General features: G+C 38.1%; 1 protein-coding gene across 3 annotated transcripts in view; it reads left to right on the top strand.

The window, feature by feature from the left end:
• The window catches only part of PLPPR5 (phospholipid phosphatase related 5), a 115,542-nt gene that overhangs the window by 63,146 nt on the left and 27,415 nt on the right, over window positions 1-24,981 (top strand). For all 3 annotated transcript variants that reach the window (XM_011540838.4, NM_001010861.3, NM_001037317.2), the window contains one exon: window positions 20,583-20,759. In XM_011540838.4, coding sequence (XP_011539140.1) covers window positions 20,583-20,759 — 177 coding nt within the window. The remainder of the gene's footprint in view (window positions 1-20,582; window positions 20,760-24,981) is intronic.

Here is a 24,981-nt window from a genome sequence, read left to right as displayed (position 1 = left end):
CTTGTAGGGGCCAGCCCAGCAGGGAGTTTTTACCATCCAGTGCACTAGAGGTGGAAACTCAGCTCACTGGTCTCCTTACAGCACAATGACACAGTATTTCTTGAAATAGAGATTAGAGAAATTTACCTCTGTGGCTGCCACACTGCTTTCACCTAGTTCTAATGCAGACAGGATCTAACAAGCTAATGCACAGCCAGAGATTAATAGCGTGATATAGTATCTTCTCTGATCCTCCCTGTGTCAAATATATTTACATTTTAAGTGCCTTAACATATAGGAAAAAATATATAGCACTGTAGTCCGGGTGCAGTGGCTCATGCCTGTAATCCCAGAGCTTTGGGAGGCCAAGGCGGGCAGATCACTTGAGGGTGAAACTCCATCTCTACTAAAAATACAAAAAAATATTAACCAGGCAGTGGTGCATGTCTGTAATTCTAGCTATTCGGGAGGCTGAGGCCGGAGAATCGCTTGAATTCAGGAGGCAGAGGTTGCAGTGAGCCGAGATTGCGCCACTGCACTCCAGCCTGGGCGACAGAGCGAGACTTCCTCTCTCTCTCTCTCTCTTTCTTCCTCTCTCTCTCTATCTCTCATATATACGTATATGTGTATATATATATGTATACGTATATGTGTATATATATATATATATACGTATACATATATGTATCTGTAATTGCAGTTATCAAACTCCTTCTAAATTGAGGATGCATTTAAATCGAGGAGATTTCTTGGTACTTCTTCTGTTGTATTACAAGAAAGGTTACCTTCTTCTTATAAGCACAGTCTGCTTTGAGCTATTTGTTTGTTTATGGCATTTAAAGAAACTCTTGGAAGGAGAACAAAAGTCTCCAAAGAACAAATAGAAATCTCTCTATAATAATACAGCAATTTGAGGTATAAAAATAATTATTGAGTTCTTACTGTGCTAAATACTTTATGTACAGTGTATTTACTGCTTTGTTCTGTCAAATACATTAATCAGGCATCTTTCTATTATAGAGACTTATGCTATTAACTTCTATACATTATAGGGAAATATTTTCTCCTTGGACATTCTAAAACTTCCACTATCAAAAAAAAAAAAATCCCACAACCACACAAATAAATTCCGTTAATTCAAGCTACCGTCGCATCTTTGAAAGAAATTTCTAGAAAGACTATTTTACACTTTCTCACCTTATAAACCGGTTACATGGGGTTTGCCCCTTCCACCTCCACAACACACACACAAACACACATATGCACACTCACTCTCCTGAAACCACTCCTCAGACCTCATCCCCCAGATCTTATCAAGAGCCTCTTCAGATCCTTGTCTTGCTGGCCTTCTCAGTAGCATAGATACTCTTAATTATTCCCTCTATTTGAGCTTTTCTCTTTTTAATATGTTGGAAACATTATATTCTTCAAATTTGCTTTTCTTCTCATTAAGTGCTTCATTGCAATGTCAGAAAACTGTTACCAGCAATTACCGAGTTTCTGTTCTAGATCTTTTCTTCCCTCTGTTATCCCTTCCAACAGTGATCCCATCTATTCCCACCTCCACGCCTTTCAAGTGAACCCCACAACTCCTTCATTGGCCTTAACCTCTCTCTTCAGCTCCAGACTTTACGCCTAACTTGAACATATCTCTGGAGTGTCTCATCAGCACCTTACTTGCAGAATTTCAAAAACCGAAACCATGATCTTGCCACTGCTCCCAGCCATCTCCTGCTTTTGTGTCTTCTGATTTGATTATTGACATTCCTACCCTCGTTACCCAAGCCTGAAATCTCTGAGTCATTCTCAGCTCCTCCCTCTTCCACACCCCCGCATCCAGATGTCTGATTAATTCTGTTGGTTCCACATTTGAAATACCTCTGAAATCCAGACTCTTCATATATGTTATTCTACTGGTTGAATTTACCTTCTTTGTGTTGTTTGCCTTGACTATTGCAGGATCATCTCCAATAAGCTTCCTAACATAATTCTTTTCTCATCCTTGTCCATTCTGCACTTTGCCACTGGAGTAACACCCCTAAAGCATGAGTTATAAGCGCTTATCCCTTTGCATAAAAGCTCTCCATAGCCTGCCCTCCCAGTGAAAGCCCTTTCAAGCGTTACACTCCTACGTGTGCTATACAAGGCCCTCTTAGCCCTGGCTAAAAGCTGTCTTCCCTCCAGTTATGGACTAAATTTTTTCCTCCCTTGATTCATATGTTGAAGCCCTAACCCCTAAGTGATAATATTTGGAGATGAAGCCTTTGGGAACTGATTAGGGTTAGATGAGATCATGAAGGGGTAAGGCCCTCATGATGGGATTGTGTCCTTATAAGAAGAGACAGCAGAGAGCTTGCTTCCTAGCTCTCTCCACCATGTGAGGACACAGCAAGAGGGCAGCATCTGCAAGCCACATAGAGCCCACACCAGTACTCAAGTATGCCAGCACCCTCATCTTGGACTTCCAGTCTCTAGATCTATGAGAAAATTAAATTCTGTCTTTTATGCCACTCGGCCTATGGCATTTTGTCCTGGTGCCCAACCTGAACCCCCTCCCTTACTGCATAATGCCCTCTCTCACTTCATGTGAACCCAGTCCATATTAGACTACATTTGATCACTCTATTCCACTCGTTTACACTAGACTATTTCTGCTATTCTCTCAGCCTACATTTCCAGTGCCTCCAACCTCCATAATCACCCGTCAAAATTATATTCACCTTTTTGTGTGTCCATTAGCGTTCTCTACGATAAATAATAGAAAATGAGTCAAGTTGATTTAAGCAAAATGAGGTGAAAGGAGAGGCTCGAAAATGAGGCTCAGGGAATGAGCAGGAACTGATAGAACCTAAGCAGCCAGAACCACAGCCAAGACCAGACAACAGGAAGGGTACGCTGAGGATACACACGGCTGTGACTGCAGGACCCAGGTATCGCTGGCACCACCACTTCTCCATGCCTCCACCTGCACTGCCACCACTGTGGCTGCCAGTGGTGGGGATGTTTCACTTCACCCACTTCTTTGCATCATTTGCAGAGCATCTGGTTGAGTGTGGATCACGTGCCAGTGGCCTGCCTGCCAAGGCTTTGAGGAAGGCCACACTCAGATTTTTGTTTAGTTTTGGTGGTGGCATAGAATATATGCTTCCCACACAGGAGACAATACATGTGGAGAATTTCCCAATCACAAGAAAGGGGTTAGATGCTAAGTAGTGGGAAAAAAATTCTTTTTACCTTAGCAACCTGGATTAAGGCTGGTCCCCTTTTTAAGGCTTTATCTCATCTTTTTATTTAAAATTAATCTGCACATCTTCAGTGGTGCACCTAGCATATTTGACACAAAAGCAAATCACTTTTAGCATCCCTTCCTCTATATGGAAAAATTATTTTCAGTAATAACTATGTGATAATAATCATTATTTTATTGATTTATTTTTTATTTTTAAGATAAGAATAGGTAAAGTATATTTTTAAAATATACTATATATGCATGGTTAAATTTAAAAAATTTAATATATATTTAATTTTTTAATTTTATTTTAATTTCAGGGGTTCATGTGCAGGTTTACTATATAGGTAAACATGTGTCATGGGGTTTGTTGTCTAAATTATTTCATCACCCAAGTGTTAAGCCTAGGACCCATTAGTTGTTTTTCCTGATCTTCTCTCTCCTCCCACCCTCCACTCTCCAATAGGCCCCAGTGTGTGTTGTTCCTCTGTATGTGTTCTCATCACTTAGGTCCCACTTGTAAGTGAGAACATGTGGTATTTGGTTTTGGTTTTCTGTTCCTGCATGAGTTTGCTAAGGATAATGACCACCAGCTCCATCCATGTTCCTTTAGAGGACATGATCTCATTTATTTTTACAGCTGCATAGTATTCCATGGTATATATGTGCTACATATTCTTTATCCAGTCTACCATTGATGGGAATTTAGACTTCAAGCACCAGTGTTCCAGTGAACCGGGCAGAACTTCATCTTCTTTTATGAGCCCATAGTTGATTCCATGTGTTTGCTATTGTGAGTAGTGGTACAGTGAATATACATGTGTCTTTGTGATAGAATGATATATATTACTTTGAATATATAATAAGTAATTTAAATAAATATATTTATATTTATATAAATATATAAATGTATTTTAATTTTAAAGCTATAAATATTCAATATGCTATTTTATGTATCGACTAAAATTTGCACTTACCCAGTAAAAATACTATACTTTTTTTTTTTTTTTTTGAGACGATCTTGCCCTGTTTCTCAGGCTGCTTAATTATTTGTACATTCCTCACTGCAGCCCTGAACTCCTGGGCTCAGGCAGTTCTCCCACTTCAGCCTCCCAAATAAAATACTATACTTTGCATTCACACTAGTTTATTATTTTAAGTTTTAGACATGAATAAAAACTCCAGGTGGTCACATAGATTGGAAGAATTGAAATAGCTCAAGTTCTCTTTCTTCATTTTTACAATTACTATGCTATCATGTCTTTTTTTTTCCTTTTTCTTTTTGCTTTTTTTCAAAACTACTGTTTAAATGCATCACCACAGGGGCTGGAGACACTAAATGGAGCAAAAGCCACAAATGATTCCCACCCTCTATGAGCTTACTCTCCAGATGAATATGAGTAGATGAGTCCACATGTCTGCTAGGGGGCAAATGTATATAGGTGGGCATTCTTTGAATTAATTTCCATGTGTAATGCAGTATTTATTACAGATTATGTAACAAAAGTATGCTTATTTAAAGCTTACATACATATTTTTAATATTCAACAATAACTGCAACAGTTATTTCAACTTATATCAATGTTCTGTTTACTATTGCTCCTTAACAAGCCACCCCAAACTTAGCATAAAACAACCATTTTACTATGCTCACAGACTCTGTAGGTCAGATATGTGAAAAAGGCAAAATGTGGCTATCTTTTCTCTTCTCCATGGTGTTTCCAACCTTAACTGGGAAGATTCAAAGGCTGACTTCAAAGGTGACTTGATAGCCAGGACATGCAGTTATCCAAAGGATTGTTCATTCACCTTACTGCACCTGGGCTAGGAGAAGGTGAAGACCACAACAGCCTACCCATAATCTTCTCACATGCCTTGGCTTCCACACAGTGAGGCAGCTCCAGGGAGTGCAGCTTCCTACAGAACTCCAAGCACCAGTGTTCCAGTGAACCAGGCAGAAATGTGTCTTATGAGCTCAATCTTATGAGCTCATAGTGTCACATCTACTGCATTTTCTTGATACAAGCAAATTGCTAAGGCTGCTCAGATTCAGAGGGAGGGGAATTGGACTCTACCTCTTGATAGGGAAGATTCAAGAATGCAAGGGGTTAGAGACTGTTATAGCCATCTTTGGAGAATACAGTGTGCCACAATCAACAAGAGATTTAGAAGGCAGGAGTATGTTATCACTGACACTGCTTAGAATTGCTAGAGCATGGCAACAATAAAGAGCAGATAGACATTTAGTAGGTTTTACTGTTGCATCCCCTCACTGCCTGCACCTGGGCAGACTGCTGCTATGCCCACCCTTAGTTTGCCACTGCCCATGTTCTGATCTCTGCAGGCCTTGGTAATGTGGCTCTTAAAAAGGTTAGAGATTACCCTTGTCCAGTTATCATGTGTGTATTCCTACCTCATGTAGCCTATAACATCTCTGAGGCTACAGACTGTTTCTCTATAGCTGTCACAATGCCAGCCGGGGCATAAATACAACCCAGACTTAGAAAAATAGGTTGATTGGTTCAAACAACAACAGCCATATATTCAGTGCTCATTATTTGGAAGTAAGACTTTCTAATAGATGACTTGCCCTTGTCCTCTAATAAATCTATTGTCTCAATGTATTCTGATGCAGGAAAAATACCCAAGACTTAGAGGCTGTGCCTACACAAAGCATAGGATCGATTGTTCTGAATAAATAGGTCTAATTCCTTAAATAAAGTAACCATTTGCATTTTCTCTGGCAATTCTGTTAAAACCAACAGAGACTGTCTGATACACCTTGGCATTTATAGAAGACCCCACACGTCCTCCTACTAAGTAGCCTCTTCACCACTCCAGTCTCAACTGGGAAAACTTTTAAGCAATCCCATAGTTGGAGATACTGCCTGAAGGGGATCCATGCACATCCTGAGGATCAGGAAATTTTGTTACACACCAGTAAACAATTCTGAGTACTTCTAACATGCCTGTAGATGTGGAAACAACTGGGTTGGGTTTGGAGATGCTGGCTGGAGGACTCCTTGTCTCTAGCTGAGTCTATGGCTGCTTATGGCCGTGTCAGCATCTGCACAGCACAGGACCCTTCAGCAGCCCACTTCAGAATGCTCTTTACACACTCTAAAAAGCCCTAAAACTTAGGACCTTTTAACTCTTATTTTTTCACAGAAGGGTACACTGTATTTGTGTGAATAATAAGTAATGTCCTTCTATTATTTATGCCAGTACTGTGCTAAGTGCTTTACATAGATTATCTCATTTAATCCTTATAGTCAAATTCCATAGGTACTATTATAATTCTCAAATTAAAGATGAGAAAACTGAGGCTCAAAGAAATTCATTAACTTGCCCACAGTCACACAGCTGGTATATGCTGGAGACAGGATCTGAATCCAGAACGTCCCCCGTGTCTGTTCTCAGAACTACTTCATTCCATTGCCTCCCCCTTGCAGCCAGTAAACCCAGGTGCACGTTGAGGTGGCTGACCATGCAGAATTCCAGGTCCCTTACCCTGGGCACTTCGTTCTGGGTGGCGAATGTCTCTGTAGTTTTTTGGAAGAGAGTGGGATTTTGATTTCCAGCATGGTTCTTTGCTACTCACATGGCCATGGCATAAAGCAGTGTTCTGGCACTGCTGGCTTCTCAGTAAAGAGTGAGCAAGTAATCAACATGCACCTGCCAGATAAGGAACACGAAAGGAACCACTGCACATAAAGCAAGCATATTTCTTATATTTAACTGTTCTTAATGGCCCTTGTGTTCTCATATTCCTTGCTTTTAAGTTTAACTTACTTACAGTGACACCCACTAATTCAGTGGGGCTATTTTTAACATAGAATCATAGGGACGTTTGACTTGTTCTTATAATTGGTTTTTCTTATCCCATTAAAGTTTTCTTATTGGGTACTTTCTATTGCATGAAGCTCTATGGTGTTGATATCATAAATTGGGGGTTATTACAAATATAATGAAGAAAATTAAATAGTAAAGGTGAACAGTCGTATTACCTAGGATGATAAAACTGCTCTCCTCTCCCACTTGTACAGACTTAGTTCAGGCCCTCATTATGGCTTACCTGGATTGCTAATAAAAATTTCCTAATAGCCCCTACTCTTGCTGGTTGAAATTATTCATTCTTTATATAATTGCCTACACAACTTTCTAAAATGGAGATTATGATGTGCGGACCTGGCTTCAAGGATGTGTGACCTGATTCAGGTCCTGTCTCCAGCACTTGGCTTAATGCTCTGCTGTCACTATCTTGTAATTTGTAATGATTTTTGAAAAACAGGTCTGTCATTCATTTTCATTTTGCACTGGACCCTACAAATTATATACCCAGTCCTATAACATGCAATCATGTAATCCACCCCCAACTCCATAGAGGCTCCAGAAGCCCCTCTGTGAATTACCTAAGAATTCATGAATGTGGTTTAGAAGCCCCTGGATTTTCTGTAAACTTCCTTCCACTTTATTTTTTTTTAATTCTATGAACCATAAAGTGTTTCACAGATGGAGGGATGTCACAGACTTAATGTTTATACAAACACCTCAAAAATGATCCTCACTCTTCTTCTCCTGTTCCCTCATTTTTAAATCTCTCATAAAAATGGCCCCTACAGGAAGTTTTGCCTAACACTCCCCTCACGTCCGGGTTGGTGGTTGCTTCCATTTTGCTTGAGGGAAAGAGTCTTTTTATACTTGAGACTTAGAAGAAACTGTTGATCAACGTGACTTCTATTTCCTGTGAATTATTTCTGTGATTTGTGCTCTTCAACATACACCTCAGTTATTCTTACTTGTCTTTTATATGTCTCTCCTTTCTCTTGGACTAAGAGCTCCTTGAGGTCAGCAGCAACAGACTTCCCTATCTCTATATTGCTAGCCCAAGCTCATTATCCAGGACATGGGAAAGACACCATAAATAGTATTTGAAACTGGATAAATGAGTGTGGGAATGAATGAATGTATTCTGTACACTCTTTCTTTCTCATGAAGCCTCAAGCTGTTTTTAAACTTTTAATTAATAGCTTTTTCTATATACTATATGTTCAGTGGTATTCTAGGAAATCTTTTCTTATCTGCCATAAACACACAGTCTGCATCCACTCTTCCTTTCTGTGTTTTGCCCAGGGATGACAAGCTTGCATCCATTGGCTCCTACCTATCAGCAAGCACATGCCTGCTCTGCTCCCTCACTATATGTCCTATTGCCACCCAAGCTCCAGTTCCCAGAAAAGCAAGAGTTGGGAGAAAAAGCCTGTGAAATAATTTATCCTCTGTCCCACATTCCCATGGACATTTATCCCAGAAGCATAGCTAAACTTCTCTGCCTTCTGGTTCCAACTTCTATGTCTCCTGATGCTGCCAATGAGAGCCTAGGATCCCTGTGTTGTCTTCCTCCCCTGGTGCCCATGCTGCACCACCTGCCAGAAACATCTTCCTCTAGCCCCTCAAGCACCTAGGACACTACCCCCTCTCCTTTTGCGTAAGTAACAAATTCCTTCACCCAGCTTTCAAGGCCAAGCTAGTTTTCCCACCATGATTCTCCAGCTTTAGCCAGATACATCTGCTCACGTTGCCCAAATCTTGCCTGACTTCATGCCCCGTGGTGCCTTTCCTCACATCACTACATGCATCAGAGACAACCCCATCCCTGGCAGCCCCTTTACCAGGAAATGCCTTCCCAAATCAACCAACATTCTCTGGCTATTTGAATGGTCAGTATGTTTTCAGTAGTTTCTCAGGTTTCGGAGCTAGATGTAAATGCCTTCCTGCCACCATAATTGGAGCTGCCAAGTAGTTACAGCACCAGCTTTGGTTATGCAAAGCTCAGCTTTTCATCTCTGCACTTGGTTCTTTAGTGTCATTATCTCATCTGGTCCTCAGAACAGCTCAGTTTCATAATCCTTTATTCTTAATTCTGAAATCCTTTTTTTTTTTTTTTTTTGAGACGGAGTCTCACTCTGTCGCCCAGGCTGGAGTGCAGTGGCACGATCTCAACTCACTGCAAGCTCCGCCTCCCGGGTTCACACCATTCTCCTGCCTCAGCCTCCTGAGTAGCTGGGACTACAGGCACGCGCCACCACGCCTGGCTTATTTTTTGTATTTTTAGTAGAGATGGGGTTTCACCGTGTTAGCCAGGATGGTCTCGATCTCCTGACTGTGATCCACCCACCTCAGCCTCCCAAAGTGCTGGGATTACAGGCATGAGCCACTGAAACCTTTTTTTTTTTTTTAAAAAGCCCTCTCTATGCAAGGCAAGACAAATTTTTGTTTTGTTTGTCCCTGGATGAAAAACTTTATCTGACCTGAATTTATTGGGGTTCTTTACTTATTCTGCTTACTGTGAGTAGCCATCTGTTTTGAGGTAGAAATGTGAATGTGTTTTATTATAGGGTGCAGCCCGGACCACACTGGAGGTATCAATGGGCGGTACATAGATCATATTACCCCAAATCTGAAAATGTTCTGAATGCTGAAATACTTCTCTACTTGAGGGCTCAGATAAAGGAGTGTGGAGCTGTAGTAAAGCAGACCTTGCTGCTTTCCAGATTTGACCAATGAGGAGACTCAATGAGGATAAGTCATCACCCACCTAACATCATAGCCCTAATGTACTGAAGGATCAAGACTGGAACTCAGATCCTCTGATGCTATCTGGGCCTTTATCCACTCATTATAACCAACTAATGTGCATGCTTACTGCAGGCTAGAGGGGAAGTAGAGATTCTTTTACCATAGCCTGTTAAGTACATTAGATTTTAGAAAAATCAATAGATTCCTGGAAAATAATACAGTTTCTTAGAGGTCATTTCCAAAATATAGTAACTACTACACACCTAAAAAATAGCTAAAGTAATGCATAAGGCTGAAAGGTCACATAGATTATTCATTGTGAGAGTTGCTGTACATTTTGTATATATTTTTGTTCTAATTATATATAAGCAGTGTGATATACACAAGCCCAGCTCTCCAAAGCAGTACGTTCATTTATTCACCCATTGAGTGACCCTGTGCCAGGGCTGAGTATTGAGTAAGCGGCAAAACAAACATAACCCCTGTCTCCACGGAGGCCTAGATGGTGTTTTAACTCAGTTGTTTGAAACTGTGACCTGATGGAAATCATGTCATACACAGAGTTTAGGTATCTAACTCAGCCTTCAAAAGCCTATTTAACCCATGTTGTACTTAAAATATATTATTAATCGTGGACTACCATGAGGTACAGTGTTTCCACGAGAAAGCAGGTGGAACATCTTGATTCTTGTCATATGTCTGGATATAATTGTACTTCCAAGTGGAACTATAGATTTCCTGCCTAGAAACTTCTGTTGGCCACTGAGGCCTGAGACTTGTTATGTTTTATTCCTCCCTCACCGCACTTTCACCTTCCACCCATGACCTCACCCAGTTCAAACTCATGGGTGCACATAAGCACGCATCCAATTAACCAACAGTTCTGGCCAGTTTAACATCCTAAATATTCCAGTCTGTTCATAACTGCAGCTATGACTCTAGTTCAAGATGTGATGATCCAGCACTGGCAACTGATTCTCCCAAAGTGATATTTTAAAATTCAAGTGTACTCCTGTCACATTCTCATATCCCCTTTATGGCCTCCCATTTTCCTTTTAATACGAATCCTTCACTTGGCACACAAAGCTTTTTGAACCTGGCCCCCGTTAACCTCTCTGGCCTAATTCCTGCTACTTCCCTCTGTACTCACCCCCGTCCCGACCCACACAACCTCCAGACTGACACACTGAGTCATTTTCAGCTCCTCCTTCAGGCATGCTCTTGAAGGTAAGTAGTCTTACCTCTGCTTGAAGACTACTCCAGCCCCGCCTTCCTCCCCAAGGCTGAGGGAGAAAGGATCCTTGACTCCTGTACTGCATGTATTAATAGCATCTTTGTTAGAGCATGGGCTCTGTAACTGAACTGCTTGAGTTTGAATCCCAGCTTCATCACCTTTTAGCCTTAAGTCCATCGATAAGTTACTTAACCTTTCTGTGTCTCAGTTACCTCTGTTGTTGAGTACCAATGTCATGGAATTGTTTGGATTACCTGATTGAGTGCATGTAAAGCACCGAGCACAGTTCTTGACACATAGTAAGCATTCATGAAATTTTATTATGATTAGCTGTTACTGAGAGTGAGCCAAGAACCATACCAGGCGCTGAGGTTACAAAGAGAAAAGGATATTCCTATCCCATATAAGCTAGCATGGGAGAAAAAGATAAATATTTTTATTTAAAAATAACTCTTTTTATAATAATTATGAACAGAATACTGGGTAGCAAAGTGAGAAAGAGTCATCCTGCTCCTCCAACAGCTGAGACTAAGGCTGAGGATGTGATTTGAGGTGCAAGCAGACACTAAGCAAAGAGATGTGTTTTGACACCTTTGATAACTTAACATGCCTTAAACGAAGTTTTTGTTGTGAATGGTAGAATCTGGTAGGCGTGGGAGAAGAGAGGTCACAGAGGTTCATCCCCATCACCTTCCTCCTTCTTGAAAGGGTGTAAAGTGAGAGTTGGAAGCTGGGTGGGGACTCAGTGGGAATGGATGTAGGAAGCTTTTGGTTGAATGAAAATTAAAGGAGTTGGGGAGGGTAATCGCAAGCCTTGAGAGGGGGAAAGAAGAGCACTTCCTGAGGACCCAACCTGGAAAATTTCTCCCCTGCCCTTTACTTACTCACTAATGAGGGTTAGAAATGAGGTCAGAAATACGTTATAAGCACACTCTTAAATTTTAGGACATCCTTTGAAATGTCACACTGTCATTAATATTAGTTATATGTATTGAAATTAGTGTGGAGCTGATAAAGTATTTTGTTGCTGATCACAAACCTATAATGTGCTGCAATATTATCTTTCTAAGGTATGATGAGTCTTTTTCTGTTATTATATAATTTAAGATAGTATTTCAACAGTATCTCATAATCTAGAATCTAATTGTGACTTAATATTTAAAATTTTCTGGTTCTAGATGATATATGTATATTATGTACATAGTAGATCATACAAAGATCAGACATATAGATTATCACATTATCATTAATTATAGTTTCTCTCCTTATCTGAAGAAATCCTGAGAAATATTTTGAGTCCTAAAGATTTAAGTACTTCAGACAGCTTTAAGGACTATTCAGAGATACTTGAAATATGCTTTTATTGTTATACTATTAATTTCTTGTCCCTGACAGTAAACTTAAATTTTTTATTTATGTATTTTAAGTTTTGCAGGTTCTACTTCATTTTTGTTTAAGGTATACCAAATCTAACCCTTCAATTCACCCAAATGTCTTGTGCATATTTTTGTAGTATTTAAAATTTCCAGATTTGTCTTTTACATATTGATTTTAGTTCCTTACTTGCTAGTCAGGGAATTTTAAATCTTGGAGATGATGGGATAGAATTATAGCAATCAAATATATTTTGCTTGCAGATAATTCTTCAGATGTTACACAGCTTATTTATTTATTTATTTTTGCTCGTATCACAAGCTATCTTTATGTAAATATCATCTCACTTTCTATCTGGTGTATGGAAAACAAATGTTAAGTGGTGAATATGTGTGGTTCTTGATTTCATAGATGATAATGTCAAGCAAAAGTGTATTTGTTCTTCTAGCTGATGGATGAAGTGCCATATGTGCAGTATATTTATTGGGTCAGGGGGGAGTCATACTGGAGATAAATAGTCTCCATGTAATATCAGCCATGGCTGCACTTTAGGGATTAGGTAAATGTGTCTGTGATGAAGGAGCTGTTATTCATAACCAAACCATCAATCGGCCTTTGTGCTGAGGGCAGCAGAGTTACTGAGCATATTCAGATCTTAACTTCATGTACCAGCTGGTCCTGAACACTGAGGTTGTTGTTACTTACATCACATTTGTGACTCCTTAGTGTTTTTCATTCAAGGACATCAGCTACAGGATAAATTCTGTGTTCATAATGACATAATCTTTTGTTAGGTACCCATTAAGGATATTGTAAAGAAAGTGGATGTTTACTCTTGATTTTCAAATACAATAAGGAGCTTTATCCCCATGCCCATAAGTTAGAATACATTATTTCTCCTAACACATGTATAGTTTTAATCCAAATATATTGTTTTAATCCATTTAATTTATTCTAATCACAAAGCAAACAAAAATTCTCATGGTGCCATGTGACGGCAATGAAACTTACACTTCTTATGTGATTGCCATTCTAAATCCTACAGATTATCATAGTTATTTTCATTTTACAAGTGATATAACTAAGAGTCAGAGAAGTTCAGTAATTTATGTAAGGTCACAGAGCTAATTGGTGGTAGACTGAACTTTTAACCCTGACTGTTAAATTCCTAAAGCTGAACTTTTCCTCAAAGCTTACACTGACTAAATACGGAATCTCCTAAGTCTCTAAAGGTATCAATAAAATACAAAACAACTGGTTAACTTTGATGAAGTAACATATTTAAAAAGTAGCCATTATGATAATTAGAATCTGAAAAAATAGGCTATATATATATTAGTTTAACTTAGAAAACCCTAAATAATTCCATGATATTATCATTTTATTGCACTGTTTACCATTTGACATGGTAATATATTAACAAATATTTAAAAATAAATGTAGATAAAAATATGCAGGTAAATGTTGCCTAACGCAGCTCAGGCAGCCTGGAAAATGGTTTTAGGATCAGTGCCCAACTCGAAGCAATATAATAAATAAAAATAATAAAGTAGCAGTAACTGCTGAAGCGGGTATAATCTTTTTTGGAATATTCACTGATCATTTTGCGTACCCTTTAAATTATGATGCTCTTGTCTAGGTCAGCATTGTTCAATAGAAATAGAAAGTGAACCATATATATATATATATATATATATGATTTAAAACTTTCTAATAGTTTTTTAAAAGTAAAAAAGGTGATATTAATATTTAATATTTTGTTTAACCCAGTGTATCCAAACTATTACCATTTCAACGTGTATCAATATAAGTTAGTAATAAGATAGTTTGCATTTTTCTTTTTCAAAATTTTCTAAATCCAGTGTATGTTTGACACTTGCAAAATACATTTCAGTTCAGACACTAAATTTTCATCTGAAATCCTTATTCTGTATTTAGATATAAAATTTACAGTGTAAAAAGTAGATGTGAAGCCCAATTTGTTTCAAACATATATTAACATTTTCTAATAATCTAGTTGAGTACCATTTTTGAAATCCTTTTCATTAAAACCAAGTAAATTGAAAATTTAGTACTATAGTTGGCCTCATCATATTTCAAGTGCTAATGGCTACAGTAGCTACTGGCTACCACATTGGTTCAGTGCCTCAGAGAAAGACCTCAAGATAAGAAGAAAAAGAAGTGTTTAGCTTCAGTAGTTAAATGAGGCTATCTTTGTCAAGAGAGAACAGGAATTTCCAAATACCACAGCTTTACATATCAAAAGCAAAATTTGAATATCTGAATATTTTATTATGAGCATAAAATATAATTATAATTATATATAATGAAAGTCTTATTATTATATTTTATTATCTGAGTATTTTATAGAGAAAACACAAATTATAAAGGGTGATACCACCAACCTAGGGGAAGGGAAGGAAGTACTTCCTGTCCTAAGAAGTGGAGGGTTGGAGGAGAGGGAAGGGCTGAATGGCAAATGTGTCCATGTAGGTGAGCACCCTTACGTCAGAAACCCAAAGAAGGCAGTTGATCACTGGATAACAGAAACTCCAGAGAGGTTGTGGAGATAACAGAAAGTAGAAGGGCTTGTACTTCATTTCTGGCTTGAAACTGGGAGAACAATTTCTCTTAGTACACCTGCAGCAGGTAAGTCAGGCTGCAGAGAAGACAGTGGGAGCCCAGGGACCTTGCAGCAGAGCTTGGGAGGGCAGGCAGCCCACCTGGGGCTATAAGGAAGGTGTGCTGGAGACAAAAGGATCTTTACTTCCTGTGAGCCTAGATGGACCAAGTCAGTATGGGGCCACAAGGACGTTAGCAGTGGTTGTCAGTAGGGCACCAATGAAGCAGTGGGATACACACCTGGCAGTGGAGGCCAGTGAAGGCTGGTGGGTTGCCTCCCCACCTTGACCTTGAGGTCTTGCAGGCCTCCAACTAGACCCCACTGTTGTTTTTCCAGAAGAGAGAATGGTGAGAAACTGAGAACAACTAAGCATTTATTCAGAATTCCTCCCATCCCATTTCTATTCAGTGAAAGATGGGTGCTTATGATGAAGTTTTGATCAGTTATGGAAACTAGAGTTACTGCATGTTTTATACAATCTAGATTATAACACCGTATAGAAAATTTATGACTTCAATATCCCACTGCTTATTGTACCACCATTACCAACCCTGGCCCCCATCACAGGTCTGAATTAAGTGAACACAGGTCTGTCTGGCAAAGTCCATGGTCTTTCCACCATTGCATCACAATTTTGTTACACACCCCATCAGACACCTTTACATTGCTCTTTGGCAAATTTATCAGTGAATCAAGAATATCAAGTCTAGGTACATAAATAAAACTTTCAGGACATTACACGGTTGGCTTAACAAACGAATGCCCCATTTTTTAAATAAAAATTTTATACGAAAAATGTCAGTAGCAGTTTGTAAACAGATCTCGGGCAAAGTGCCATGAGGCTCTGTCCTTGATGCTGTCTTGTTATTAGTGATCTGTGTGTAGCTAACTAGAATCTGGGAGAAAGATAACTAATATAATATGATAGATGCCAGCATAAAAGTTCAAAATGGTGTTGACAGGGTAAAATATTTTTTGAAAACAATAATAAATTTGACTTTTTGAACAATTTCAGGAGCCCAGGGTAAGGGGAACTTGATAAGGCATCAGTTCATGTGAAGAAGTCATGGAAGATTCAGTGGACCACAAACACAGTTTGACCAATAATGCTATGAAGTTATTAAAACACACACACACACACACACACACACACACACACACACACACACACACACTAATCAAACCTAGTGCCCTGTTAGATTGCATTAATCAAAGTCATCAAAATCTGGAAATCGGTTTAAAGATAATCCAATCCTAACTTGACTATGAGATACAAATCAATGAGTTAAGACTATAGGGTGCAATCTGGAAAAATCTCAACTGCACTCTGGGCTGGTCAGTTGTAGTGGGCACCGGTTTGCTTAATTTTGGGCTGTACTCTTTGAGGGAAGTACTAACAGATGTCAAAAGCACTAGAGTGTGCAGAGTGCTGAGGGATCTGGCCACTGAGTTATTCCCATACTGAGGGGAATTGAGGCTGTTTGATCTGTAGAAAAGAGGCGAACAGTAAAAGAATACGTATAATCATCTGCAAATAAACAATTAGTGGATGTCTTTAGGGCTAAATAGCATAAGAAAAGGGTGAAAGAAGCATGAAAACAAGAGAAAGAAAAAGGTTCTCCAAAAGCTAGGCCACAATGAATAGCCTAGACTTGGCTTCTATGTCCTCACTCTAGTGAAGGAAACAATGAAAATAAATTATAACCATACATTGTGGCCAGGGTTCTCAGATGAGGAACAAGGTGCTTTGAGAACACACAGAAGGATTGTGTATGTTGTCTAGGACACCTTTCCCCCACCATTTCCCTTTTGCCTGGAACTCTCATGCTCATTCTTCAGGATCTAACCATAGATGCCTCCTCTTTGAAGAAACCTAGCACAGCCTCTGATGCATAGTAGGTGCTTAATAAATATTTGTGTTTTTTTATTTCCATTTATTTTTGTAATAGCATTGTTTTATTATTAATAATAGTTCAGTGTTTTCTCAATTTACACAAAAAAGGATGTATATTATAACAAGTGAGTCAATGCATATTACAGACTAATAGGACATTATGATTATATTTTAGTAAAAGCAAACAAGTAAGCAAAACCTTTTTATATGTGTGTTAATTATTGTATATATTTGTATAAGCAAAGAGAAAAAGTGTAGAAGAATATACACCAGGCTCTTAACAGGGAGCAAATGATCAGCTTTGGCTTTCTGCATCTTAGTGCTAATGGATATTTGTGGAATGGGTGAATAAGCTCTGCTAATAATGATTAAATGGATTGGCCTGCGAGATAGTGAGCATCTACTGACCCTAGAGGACTGAGTGAATACCATCCTGCTCAAATCACACACCCTGCTGTTTGTATTTTATTTTAGCTACATTTTGACATCTGGTTAACCTAGATGGTTTCATAAGTGAATTAAAAACCAAGAGAGCATAAATAATCAATTCCTGTTCTGTATCCAACATGCTTAATAGATTATTATGCCATAATTTCCTTTTCTGCAAATTAAGAATAATAGACTTTATGTAAGGATAACACAATTAGACTGGCTAAAAAGGCACTTATGTTCATAAAGTACTGAAGAGTTGCTGAGTACAAGTGAAAGCTCTCTTATTTTTTCTTTTGTAACATCCATGCCAACTGATTATTCTGCAGAAAAATTTGTGCATTATAAAGCACTGCTATGATCTACTTTAAAGTTAAATATATAACCCTTGAAATTCACATAACCCTTGAAATTCAGCCACTGTCCACTCTCCACTCTGATGGAGGGAAAAGCCAAATACCAGGCTATTCCTAAAATAGAAGCTTTTTCATGAGTTTGCATTGTGGCTAGACTGTCTATGGGCTCCTTATGAACCTTGCTTGAGTCATTAGGGCAATTTAACGATCAACTCGACATTCAAGAGAAACTTCACAGGGATGTAGCCCAAGCCCACATTTTACTATGGTCTCATACAACTTGGACAAGTAAGGGCTGGACTGTATCTGAGATGGCCTTCGGGGGTGAGGGAAAGGCAAATTTTTTCTGAAGCCGTATAGATTCTGTAGGGTATTTTGCACAAGGACCACACACTATTTCCCACTTCCCCCTAATAGCAGAGCATAGATGTAGCCTTACTCCTATGATTCTGTGGTGGCCTCCTTTCTCCTGTCTTTAGTTTCTGACTGTCTTGCATTCACTGGTACTCAACTTATGCTCATTGGCCATTTCCTCCAGGCAAGAAATCAATGAAAAAGAAAGGAAGATTAGGAGATACCTAAGTGCCTTCCCTCTACTTTCCATTTACGCCTGTCTTTTCTCGACAGTGCCACCACAATCATCAAATTGTGTACTCTTCATAATAAGCTTTATCTTGATTCAGTTTTTAACCTATAAAATGGAGGTAACAGTGATACCTAACTTCAATGATTGTTTTGAAGATTGAATAAGTAATTTGTTAATAAAATGCTTAGAACATTGCCGTGAAGAGCAATCACTCATTAAATGGTAGCTATAATTGATACTAGCAGTATTAGTATTATTCAATTATCATCCCACATTTATTTTGTCTCAATGAGGACAGAATATCTTGAGTGTTAACAGATGTAAAGAAATGCAAAAGTAAGAAATAATTAACCAGCCTTATAGCTGTGTTAAAGAAAACCTCACAAGAAGCCTGAATTTCCCTGTCTATTCATACGCACTCGTCATACAAGGAGTTACTCAATTAGCTGCATCACTGAAACCTGAAGTGATGTGATAGCCTGGCCTTGTTATTCATGTGGGCAGAACTCTTTAACACATTCTCTCAGAATGGCAAAAGCATCGTTTTCTCTTTCTCATCTCTTCCTGTTCCCCTCTCATGTATACTTACCCTCCATAACTGAAATTATCAAGCTTTTCCAAGCACAGTCTTAGACACACAGACCCAGCTCCGAAGGTCACAGGCCAAGATGGAGACAGTTCAGCTCCCCCTGCCCCAGAGTATTGAGACCTGGGATGGATTGTAAAAGGCTAGAACTTGGCTAGAGAGATGCCTTGTATCACTTGGACTGCTTACATATTTATACAGCCCCTTTTGGCAGCTACAAGGGCTGCAAACTGCCCAGAAAAAAAAAAATAGAGAAGATAATTACTGGATTTCATAGTGTTCTAAAATGGCAGGTATGAACTAAAAACTTAAATTTTCATTTTGGTTTACTCTCTTAGGCAGATGTATTGTTTATTTAACCAGGGACAATAGTTAATGGTATATATGCATTTCTAAGAATTTTTCTGAGTATATTATCAATACCAGATACTTATTGACGTTTATACCATAAAATCTGATTATATTATCAAAGTCATTTCTTTTACAATTGCTCTACTCATGACTTGAAATAATAATTGAATACAGTCAACAAATTTGCTTATAAAATAATACATAAACTTATGAGCAGTTGAGCTATAGAATACATTAGATGGGGGAAGGACCAAATTATTCTTGAGCGTAGTGGCTCATGACATTTCATTTGCTGCAATCAATTGACACCATATGTTCATTAGCATAAGTCCAGATGCCAGAAATGTAGGTACCTATTCACTGTTTTGTTTTGTTTTTAGTTGACACATTTCCCTTATCGTACTTATGGTTTTTTTTTGTTGTTGTTGTTGTTTTTGAGACAGAGTCTCGCTCTGTCACCCAGGCTGGAGTGCAGTGGCACGATCTCAGCTCACTGCAAGCTCCGCCTTCTGGGTTCATGCCATTCTCCTGCCTCAGCCTCCCTAGTAGCTGGGCCTACAGGTGCCCGCCACCACGCCCAGCTGATTTTTTGTATTCTTAGTAGAGATGGGGTTTCACCATGTTAGCCAGGATGGTCTCGATCTCCTGACCTCATTATCTGCCCGCCTCGGCCTCCCAAAGTGCTGGGATTACAGGAGTGAGCCACCGCGCCCGGCCTACTTAAGTGTTTTATTGTCCTAATTCTGGCTGATAAAATGTAGTTAAACAAAGTAATTTCACAATTTCATTTAACAACATGAAAGCAACCTCGGCATTGCATTGAATCTTAAAGTCTTCCTTCAAAGTAACATCTGTTTGGTAGAAATCTATTCCACTTTATTTTTTCTAGCTGTATTCATAATGCTGGTTTTTATCAAGTATGTGTCCTCTAAATATGGCATACACAAATGGAAACATTAAAAACACTTAAACACTTCAACAGCTTCCCCCTGCTAATAATATTGTTGAGGTTGATCTAAAATGAAAATTCAGATAAAACAAGAATGGATACAGTAAGAATAAAAAGAAAAAAAGACAGTTGGACTATCTGTGCTTGGTGTTTCTAGATGATTAAGAATGTTATGCTAAGAATTGGCCATTTGTAAGAGATTGCCATACGAGGTAAGTAAAACAAAATAATTGCTACTCTTGAATTCTGCTTTTAAGAAACTGATTTCAAAAACTTCATAAACTCCAGTTAATGATTTGAATCATACAGGCGTATATATGTCTATAAATATATGTTTGTACATACACATAATATGCTATGCTAATAAAGGAAATACCTTCATGAAAAGTCATTTTTTTTATTGAATGTTTCAGATGTACATCACCAACACAATCAAAGCCAAGGGAACCAGACTTGCTAAGCCAGTTCTATGCTTGGGCTTAATGTGTTTGGCATTTCTTACTGGACTCAACAGAGTAGCAGAATATCGAAATCATTGGTCAGATGTTATAGCAGGCTTTCTGGTTGGAATATCTATAGCAGTATTTCTGGTAAGTACAAATTTATTTATATATCATTGGGTTTTTAATTAACTTGCATAATCACCATGAGAAAATACAAGTGTGAATCACTGGGTTTGTCTAAATGTAGTATATCAAACAAATCATTCATTTAAGTATATAAAACAAATCATTTAAGTCATTCATTTCTTCCTCCTCCCCCATTTGTTCTGCCACAAGTCAGGTTTGGGGATGAAAAAAATACAAATCCTATGCTTAAAGTTGAACAATATATTTTCATATAAAATAGAGCTGGCCTAAAAACATACTGTCCCTCCCAAATAGTTTTTAAGACTGGGTAAAAACTGCCTATAATATTTTTTAAGGATTTATAACAAACTTTATATAAATCCTTAAAAAATGTTATAGGCGAGTTTCAGGACTGGTTTGGATATTTTTTAAAGATTCCTCAGGGAAGTTGGCATGCTGGGGTATTGAGAGAATCCCAAAGTCCCCTAGTGAGTCCCTGCTGTACTCTCCCTGAGCCTCCATGTCCCAGTGCTAGCAGGTCAGCCTCACCTGTGAGATGAGGCATTTTACATCAGTAACTAAAAACTCATGAATAGTTTCTAAGACCATACCATGTCAAATCATATTTCACCGCATAGTAAAGAGCATACACAGTGACTTCTAATGAAGTAAGCATTCCATTTATACTCTTATTATAAAATCTTCTAGGACTATTTCCATAGGTTTTGGTTGTTGGAAAATGTATTTTAGTCTGACTTTAGAATTCATTATTATTTATTTAACCAGAGGCAATAGTCAAGGGTTTGTATGCATTTCTAAGTATTTTTCTGACTTATTATCAGTACCAAATACTTACTGATGTTTATACCATAAAATCTGATTATACTCTTAAAGTATAGTATAAGTTGTGAGTGTATAACATTTTATAAGTATGAGTATATAATAAACAGCCTGAACTTCCCTCTATTCATGTGCACTAATCATTATGAGTATATCACATTTTACCCAAATGAAACAATGTGTAGACTATGAATCAAAACATATTTTTGCATTGACACATTATAATTTAAAAAATACTTTATGTCCATTTTGATTACATTTAAATTGCCCTTACATGTAACTTAACTTTATTAGCCTCATTTTACTAGTTAATAATCAGTAAGCAAACACTTCAGTGAATCTTTCCAGCTACCAAATGTTGAAACATAATTTATGTACTGGGCATTTTAAATAAGTTATTTCCTCTAGAATCTCCTGCGGTAAAGTAGTCACCATGACCTCATCCTGTGCTGCTTTTTTTTTTTTTTTTGGTGATACCACTCTCTGTGATTCCCAAGGTCCCTGGGAGACTTAGACTCAACCTTCTGTCTTTCCTGGAGATATCCTGTAGCCTCGTGAGAACTGGGGCCCTGGCTTGAACCAAAAACTTTTTTTTTTTTTTTTTTTGCATTGACTCACCACAGTTGAAACTGGTTAACATTCAAAAAGCAAAACCAACAACAAACTTTACATAAATCCTTAAAAAATAGTATAGGCAAAGCCAAGAGCATACAAGTAGCCAAAATTTCAAAGCACTGGTGTCAGATGCAACTGTATTTCAGCTCTGCGGGTCCATAACATCTTCACTGGCATCTCATCAGCCTTCTTGTTTATCTGTCGCTATTGCCACCTTCCCTATACTTCCAGTGAACACCTTACCTTACAAGGCCAACCTCAGAATGCTGGTGCCTTCCAAGTCACTTCCCTGTCTGGTGAATGTTGAGCTGAGCTCTGGATCCCCCTTGAGCTCAAGACCCTCCAATTGCACAGGTTGAGAACGTTTCATGATAGCCCTTTGAACATTCCCATACTCTCAGGAAAATGACTTCATGAAAGGATTATATGTAAAAACTGACTATATAATAACTAAAAATGCATTTATGCATTCATTCACAGCCATTTATGAATGTGAATGCCTATAGGTGTGTTATTTAAATGTGGCTAAATAACAGCCTCCCTAAAGGATCATTATAAGGCTCTATAAAGGTTAAACAAAATAGTGCATGTTCAGCGAATTTGTGACATGAATGACTGGAAAAAGTTCCATAAACTATAGTTTGCTTCCTCTCAGTTCCTTTTACCCTACGTAAGATTTGTGTTTTGAAAATGTATTTGCAGGACAATAAGACAAAGTTGAGGATAGAAGAGATGGGTTATGCAGAACCAGGGAAACAGGATGGTGCAAATTGGCCCTCAGTGGCACAAAGAGGGAGGATATCCATCATGTCCTCCAGGATATTTAGGAGGTGGAATGGTTTGGAGCCTGGTGGAACATGGAAGGTGATGTGGACGAGGCACAGGGAGCCTTCTATGATGATTCCCAGTTTTCTCATTTGGGAAACTCAACACATTTATTCTGAGCAGTAACTCCAGCTCTGGCCTGTAATATGTTGTAATATCCTAGGGTGTTTCTAATTATCTTGCAGTGTGTGCAGAATTCTAAAGTGATTCCAAAATAAAATTAATGCTAATCTACTCCAGGTCTCTATGTCTCAGTTAAAGGAACCCAGACCACCCAGTCACCCAGACTCAATGCCTAACATTTGCCTTTGGCTCATTCTCCTGTTTCATTCCACACACCAGTGATTCATTTAGGCCAGGTTAATTTCCACTATAAAAATATTTCTTCCATGTCTTGTATCTTTGCTCTCTGACCATAACTTTTGAATTGTAGACATTATTGCTTCTTACTAAAATAGTGAGGCCTTCTCTGAACCATGTTTAAAATGACTTCTCCTCCTTGAGGATTCCTTTCCTTATTCCTTACTTTACTTTTCTACAAAGGATATTCCAACTTTTAATATGTAATATTAACTAATGTGTAATAAATTACTGTGCAGTATACCATATGGAGCATTTTTGGTTTTGCTTTGCTATCAATCCCACTAGAATGTAAGCTCCCTGTGAAGTCTTTTTCTTTGTTTTGTTCACAGCATATCCCCAATAACTAGAACAAGGTCTGGTACAGAGGAAGTACTGAATAAATATATGACGAATGAATTAATACATGAAGGAATGATTAAAGAATTTTTTATTTACTTCCCAGAGTTCTTTTAAGGATTAAGTGAAATCACACATGTAAGAAGTGAAGCCTAGTGCAGACAAGACACTGAATACCACGGTCTTCACGTTTGATGACTATATTCAAACCCTTTACACATTTGAGATTTGGCTCAGACAAGATCCAATTTCCCCAGGAAGTTTCCCTGATTGGCTGATTTTTCCATTTTTTCCTGAATTTCTACCACTCTTTCAGTCTGTCCTCTTATAATTTAATAAGGAATTATGTGCTGTGTTAATTGTATTACTCTTATCTCATGGGCATTTTGTTTCAGGTTAGAGCGCAGAATCACCATACTTAGCAAAATACAAGGCAAATACTATTTGAACACTATTTTTAGATTGATTATGATATTTATGACAGTGTCAGGCAGAAGAGCTCAAGTTTATTGAGCCACAAAAATAGTTTGTCATGTTATCATATACAACAATAATAGTTATTGTGCTCTTTACTACATTAATGCAATTAACCCTCAGAACAGCTCAGTGAAATGTTTTTATTGTCTTCATTTTGCAGGTTTAAAAAAATTGAAGCCTGATTATATAAAGTAACTTGCCCATGTTTACAAAGTTAGTAACTGAGAGATCCAGGATTATGATCCAGACCAGTTTGACCCCAAAGCCCATGCACTTAACCCCATGCAATAATGATGTTTCATTTGCCAACAAAGAGTGAAAATGAACAAGAATGGATCAGATTAAGTTATCATCATGACAGGAAAAAGAAAATATATATGCAGTGATGATTTACTCATATCATCTTGGTAGGAGAGAATAGAATTACAAGAATTATACATGCGGAAGTCACTAATGTAAAACCAGAACGTCTGAAAGCAAAGTAACATTAAATTATATAAGCACATCAGAAAATTTGAGAATTTCTGTCCTAGATGCTTGCTCATTCATTAATCTGATCCCTCACTGTGACAGTGTGAACACAGCAGTGAGCAAAAAAGAGCATCTTTGCATTTGTGGAACTTGGAAGAGACACATCAATCAAAGTATTACTTTAAATGATGTTTAATTTCATACTAAGTGCTCTGATAAAAATAATCACAGCTCCATGTAAGCAAAAAGCAAACAAACAAAAACAAAATAAACCATCCCAGCTAGGAGTTCAAGGAAGGCATCCACGAGGAAGTGA

The sequence above is a fragment of the Homo sapiens genome, chromosome 1, assembly GCF_000001405.40.
Source record: "Homo sapiens chromosome 1, GRCh38.p14 Primary Assembly".
In the NCBI taxonomy this organism is placed as follows: domain Eukaryota; kingdom Metazoa; phylum Chordata; class Mammalia; order Primates; family Hominidae; genus Homo; species Homo sapiens.
The sequence above is the reverse complement of the archived record's forward strand: the minus strand, read 5'-3'. Positions and strand labels throughout refer to the sequence as shown.